The sequence below is a fragment of the Homo sapiens genome, chromosome 2, assembly GCF_000001405.40.
Source record: "Homo sapiens chromosome 2, GRCh38.p14 Primary Assembly".
Classification (NCBI taxonomy): domain Eukaryota; kingdom Metazoa; phylum Chordata; class Mammalia; order Primates; family Hominidae; genus Homo; species Homo sapiens.
In genome coordinates, this window is record NC_000002.12 from 176989150 (window position 1) to 176996080 (window position 6931).

The following is a 6931-nucleotide window of genomic DNA, read 5'->3' on the forward strand; positions in this document are numbered from 1 at the left end:
TGGTACATGAGGACATAGCCCAGGACCAGGCACATAGTAGTCACTCAAAGAATAATTTTGGAGTGACAGAATGAATAAATGAAATGGTTTTGATTCACCAGAGTCAAGGGACCAGTTATATATTTGCTTGTTTTCACAGGGCCGCCCCCACATGTCACTAAAAACAGGTCCTTATTATCTCTCCTTTAGACCTTCTGCTGTGTTAACACCGTTAATGCAGACACCGACACTCAGATTAATGAAAGGAAGCAATTTATTGAACTGATATTTGGTGTAGATGTCATTAGCTGCGCTCCTTTGGAGCAACTGCATCAGATTAGACACAGTCTCTCCCTAAGAGCATGTAGAAAATCATTTAACTGCTTTTTCCCAGCTGTTTATGTGATGCCAACCCCCTATGAATTGTTGAATTGGTTCTGAGGCAACTGTGAACCTTCTATGATTGCTCTTCATTGATGCTGTTTTTGTCTCTTCTGAGAAATATATACTATAATAAATCATGCTGTTGCAGTTTTATTTTTTGTTGTTATTGTCTCCTTTCCTTCCATCTGCATTCAAGATATTAGAAAAGTTCCAATAATGAGACAAGGTCAATAGAGCTCCAAATAACTTGTCAACACGGTGACACCTGAAAGGTGATCTTGGAAACAGAATAAGGGCCTGGTGGGTTTGAGTGGTTTTACAAGTCTATGAGGAAATTAGGAACTTTTACAGATACTTGGAGTTGGAAAAGTCAAAGATATCCATTAGGCAACAAGGCAAGTTCTGAGAGAGCTCATACATATCCATTACCTTCCCAAGTTTCACCAATAAATGAGCAACAAATTAGCAGATGGTCTATAAGGCAGATGGCCCAGTTCCCTTCTAGAGCCAGTGTCACTTTTCCTAGGTTTTCATTCTCAGCTCCATTGATAAGACAGCTATTGACCCAACACCCTGAAACCCCCCACCCATTCTGAAATTCATTCCCTCCATTTCTTAGTGATCTTCCACTTCAATCCCATACCGCAGCCTGACTGACGAGAAGTCTTACAGACACCGCTGACCATGCTACTAGGCGACCTATTCCTTTATAACACTTTGAGTTGTTAGAAATTTACCTGGTGCAGTGGTGTGTGTGTGTGTGCCCGTAGTCCCAGCTACTCAAGAGGCTAAGGCAGTAGGATTGCTTGAGCCGGGGGGTTGGCAGTGGGGGAGGTTAGAATCAAGCCTGGGCAACATAGTGAGATCCTGTCTCTAACAATAATAACAAAAGCAACTGATCAACTGTTTGAAATTTCTGCACATTATATAGAAATTTTCTTCCTGAAAGCTTTGACTTGTTAGTCCTAGTTATGCCCTTTAGAGTTATACAAAATAACCAATCATTCTTTCCAAGTTACCTCCATCTAGGGTTGGATTTCCTTACCTTTTCATAATAAAACTTACAGTTTCTGAACCCTCTCCTTATGAATTATTGTCCAGTTGGCAAATGTCTTACTATTCAGTGGAATCATTTGTTTCTGAAATTGAAATATCTAGCCATGACATTACATGTAATATCACTAGGAGTCAAAGCCAAAGTATGCTCAGAGACACAGGTGGATGATATTTTCAGGCATCAGCCATGAAAAGCTGGCTGATTGATATTTCTCTGTGTAAAAGCTTCTTCCACTTTTTGAACTTGCATATATCACTATGGCCTTCTTGACCTTCACTGTTTGGCATTTGTTTCTCCTGAAATACAAATGATAATAATTAAGTAAGCACTTTAAATTGTATACTCTAGTAGATCTTCAAAGACTGTATTTCCCATCTGAGTCTAGTCTTCTGCTTTTATGCTCATGTATTCCTGGAGTTTGAGAATTAATACTAGCACAATTTGGCAAGTAGGAAAGAAAGGATGTTGTTGAAAATAAAGCTTTCACCTGGCAGTTAATACTATGGCACAAGCACACATTGAATAAAAATTATTGTTGGGAGGCCAAGGTGGGCGGATCACGAGGTCAGGAGATCGAGACCATCCTGGACAACATGCTGAAACCCTGTCTCTACTAAAATACCAAAAAAAAAAAAAAAATTAGCCGGTGTGGTGGTGCACACCTGTAGTCCCAGCTACTCAGGAGGCTGAGGCAGGGGAATCACTTGAACCCGGGAGGCAGAGGTTGCAGTGAGCTGAGATCGTGCCACTGCACTCCAGCCCGGCAACAGAGCAAGACTCTGTCTCAAAAAAAAAAAAATTATTGAAAAATATTCATTTCTCCCTGAAAGTCATAAACCAAGATTAATGGTTCATGTAACTAAAATCAATCCCCAAACAAAATCTTTTCCCCTAAACACCACCAGCACACATTAACAGACCACTTCCCTCACCCTATTATCTTTCACTGTTAGCATATTCCAAGTTTCTAGCCAGAAGTCGGAAACACTAAAACCCTTCCAGGAAGCCTGCACTAGTGAGATTTGCCCAGGCTTGACAGCACCAAGAAGTGACTAGAATAATCACATCATCCTTGTTTATCACCAGGTGGTTTATTCCTGGCCAAAGCCTAACACAGGTGCTCTTTTTAGCCAAAGTGAATGCTGAGTTCACATAGGCAACACTAGCCTCACAGAGAGAATAGCCAAGTCAAAGCCCCACAAAGGGAATGCTGTAGAGGTGGGTGCTTTACACTTAACCTAAGCACAAGTGCCTCATAGGAGCTGTCTGTTAAATGTATATCCGGAACAGAAAGAGCATCAAGGCATGGGCCGTGAAGGGAGAAGCTTGACAAAGGACAGATATTGAGAACTAATAGTATTTGTCCATCTCTTATGCTGTGTGTGAAATTTGAAATTTCCAATTAAAATTCTGAGGAATTAGAATAAATGAATGCAGCAAAATCCTTAGCATTTGCTGCTTTACTAATTTGATTTTTTTCTGCTATCCTTTGACAAAGACCACCTTCTTGACTTTATGGTTCCACTTGCTCACAATACATATTTTAATTAAAAAATGATTTGATTTGAACATCTGGAGTGGCCTAGTGAAAATAAATAGGTAAAATTTGGTAAAATTAGCTAAGTTTTACCTAATGCAAGAAATGTTAGCACTCAACAAAGAAAAGTCCAGGACCAGATGGCTTCACTGTTTTTATTTTTTGTATTTTTATTATTTGTATTCTATCATACTTTTAAGGAAGAACTTACACCAGTTCTTCTCAAACTGTTTCAAAAAATTGAAGAGGAGGGAATTCTTGAAAACTTATTCTATAAGGCCAACATTATTACCCTGATACCAAAACCAGACAGGGACACAATAAGAAAAAAAAAAAAAACTATAGCCTATATTCCTGATGAACACAGATGCAAAAATTCTAACAAAATCTAGCAAACTGAATCCATGAATACACCAAAAAGATTAGACAACACAATCAAGGGGAATTTATCCCAGGGATGCAAGGATGGTTCAACACATACAAATCAGCAAAACATGGTACATCACATCAACAGAATGAAGGATACAACCATGTGATCATCTCAAGAGATGCAGAAAAAGCATTTGATAAAATTCAACATCCTTTCATGATAAAAACTCACAACAAATCAGGTGTAGAAAGACTAATAAATACTTATTTGTGGGGGCAGAAAAAGTTGAGCTCATTAGCTTGGGCAACATGGTGAAACCCTGTCTCTAGAAAAAATGCAAAAAAGTCACCTGGCATGATGGTGTGCACCTGTGGTCCCAGTTACTCAATAGGCTGAAGTGGGAGGATTACTTGAGCCTGCGAGATAGAGGTTGCAGTGAGCCAAGAACGCACCATTGCACTCCAGCCGGGATGACAGAGGGAGATTCCATCTCAAAAAACAAAACAAAACAAAAAACAAAAAAACAAGTTGAGCTCCTGGAAGTAGACAGTTAAATTGTGGTTACTAGAAGCAAAGAAAAGTAGAAAGGAGGGGGGTGTAAAAAGAGGTTGGTTAATGAATAGATAAATCTACAGCTAAATAGGAGGAATAAATTCTAGTGTTTTATAGTATTAATACTATAGGGTGACAATAGTTAACAATAACTTATTCTATATTTTCAAATAGCTAGAGGAGAGGAATTGTGAATGTTTCCAATACAAAGAAATGTTAAATGTTTGAGCTGGTGGATATGCTAATTGCCCTGATTTGATCATTACACATTGTATACTAGTGTTGAAATATCACTCTGTACCCCATAAATAAGGGCAATCATTATATGTCAATTAAAAACAAAATTTTTTAAAAAAGAAATGTTAGAAGAGGATATAAACAGATATTTCACATTCGTTTGAAGCAATATTCTAGCCATTGCACTAATAAAAATATTCCAGTGTATTTCTAATTGTTACTTAGTACAAGCCATCATTAAATCAAAAAGGAGGTAGGGATGAGATAAATAAAATTAATGAATCCAAAATTAGGTCTGTTGATAATATGCTTTCTCAGTCCAATTCAAGATAAATCAGGAGTCCAATTTTTATCCCTTCTCTTAATTAGGGAATCGGGGTACAGGTATGACAGAATGACATGTATAATTTTTTTTTCTTTTTTTTTCTTTTTCCCCATTCTTTCCCGGTTTTCTTCATCCTCTTCTATAAAGGGGGCTGTTTTTGAAGGACTTAAGAAAGAGAAGCTTTGAACATATGTTGGTGTATCAAAGTTAGACTCTGAGAGAAGATCAACATTGGCAGGAAAAAACTCTGTCTTGTAGATCTTATACTCTGAAACTGAAAGACACAAGCCCTCCTTAAGTGACACAGAGAACCTAAACAAACCTGATAGAGTCCCTCCAGGCGAAGTCAGCAACCTGGAAGGAGAGCAGAGGGTTAGAAATAGGCTAATGCAGTTGTAGAGAGGAAAACTGGAAGAGAGACCAGAAAGAGAAGGTAATTTCCACATCCTTCTTCTAAGATGAGGTTAGATGGACTAATGGGACAAGGAGAAAAACATTTACTGACAATCTCTAGGCATATTATGAGGTATAATTGTCCAAGGCTAAAATTTTTTATCAACCATACCCATATACTGCCCACCCCAGTTATTATAGACATAAATAAGGAGTTCATTCTTTGATTCAACAAATATTTATTGGGCATCTACTGTGTATGTGCCAGACACTGTCCAAAGTGCTGTGATACAACTGTAAACAAGATAGGAAAAAAATATCTGCCCTCCACATATACACTATGGAATACTATGCAGCCATAAAAAAGGATGAGTTCATGTCCTTTGCGAGGATATAGATGAAGCTGGAAACCATCATTCTCAGCAAAATATCACAAGGACAGAAAACCAAACACCGCATGTTCTCACTCATAAGTGGGAGTTGAACAATGAGAACACATGGACACAGGGAGGGGAACATCACACATGGGGGCCTGTTGAGGGGTGGGGGGCTGGGGGAGGGAGAGCGTTAGGAGAAATACCTAATGTAAATGACAAGTTGATGAGTGCAGCAAACCAGCATGGCACATGTATACCTACGTAACAAACCTGCACATTGTGCACATGTACCCTAGAACTTAAAGTATAATAAAAAAAAATCTGCCTTTGTGGAGCTTATATTCTTGGAAGAAAAAGATAAACAAGCTAAATAAGAAAAATATAAAAATAGTATACGAGATGGTAATAAAGGTGATAAGGAGGAAAAGAAAGCCATTTTGTATAGAGAAGCTAGAAAAATTTCACATAGTAAGTAATGCAGTAGAACACTCATTCTTAGCAGGAGAAAGAAGATTAAATGAAGTTATGGAAGTATATTTGTCCTTAAAGAAATAAATGGGTAAATGAACAAACAAACAACAAAAGGAACACTACCCTGGACCACATTCCCCAAAGCTTCCCAACAGAAACTACAAAGGCAGTTTATTTTCTTTTGCACCAAAGACTCATGTTCAGCTGTGTTCCATGCCTCTGCCCAAGTTGATCGGAACAGTTCACCCTTTCCCCACTAACTCCCTACAAAATTATTCTAATCTCCTATCTCTAGGTTAAGTGTTCTTTCCTCCCTGAAGCCCTGCCCCAATAAAAATAATGTCTCACATTCACCTAGCACTTCCCAATTTGCAAAGTGCCTCCCACATACTAGCCTCCATAACGATCCTGAGAGGTGGGCATGATCATCACTTTTGTACAGTGGAGGAAACTACGACATGGGGAATGTAAGTGACTTCAAGATTGAACGACTAGAACTGAGACCAGGATGTTCTTAACCTAGCCTGTTCTGTAGACTTGAGGAAGGGTGGAGTCGTGGGGAGAGCACAGGTTCAAATCCTGGACATTTCACTCACCAGCCTGTGCAACTAGTTCAGGTTGCTTAACTTGTCTGCACCCTAGTTTCTTCATTTACAAAACAGGATAATGAGACACAAAAGGCAGGTTTGCCATAAAGATAGACTGTGAGGCCCATCCCAGTGCCTGGAACCTGGCGGACACTAGACTCTCAGTCACCTCCTGCCCTCTCCCTTCTCCCACCCCCATGCCACAGCTTTCATTATAACTGCTCTCCTAGCTTACAGGGACCTTCTCTCCTCCACACTTAGAGAGAAATTGTGATCTATGCCACACAACTTGGTACTTACTCAAAAGTTCATTAAGATTCTTTTTTATAAGGGACTAAAGCCCAGGTCAAATTGCTAAATACAAAAAGGACACTTATTAGTTCCAATAACTGAAAGCAGCGGAGACAGGCAGAACTTCATCTGCGTGAGCTTGATCTGGATACTCATTTGTCATTGGGGCTCTGCCTCCATTTCCTTGTGGTTTTCCTCTGGCTCTGCCTTGGCCCATGCTCGGGCCTCATTCCCAGGCTGGCTCCCATCATGACAGCACGATTTACCCCAGCATTCCCAGCCTTCCTATCTGTGTGCTGCACTGACAAGCAGAAGAGAAGGTCTGAGTCCCAGCTTTCCCAGAAAATATTCTGCAAATCCCAGTTTCAATC

General features: G+C 39.4%; 1 long non-coding RNA gene across 1 annotated transcript; it reads right to left on the bottom strand.

Annotated features, from left to right (window-relative positions):
* Positions 1–235: 235 nt before the first annotated feature.
* LOC107985965 (uncharacterized) lies at positions 236–3743 on the bottom strand. Its single transcript, XR_001739799.1, has 2 exons — positions 3677–3743; positions 236–1716 (listed from the first exon to the last, which is right to left on the bottom strand). It is a non-coding gene; the product is annotated as an uncharacterized LOC107985965 (long non-coding RNA).
* Positions 3744–6931: the final 3188 nt, after the last annotated feature.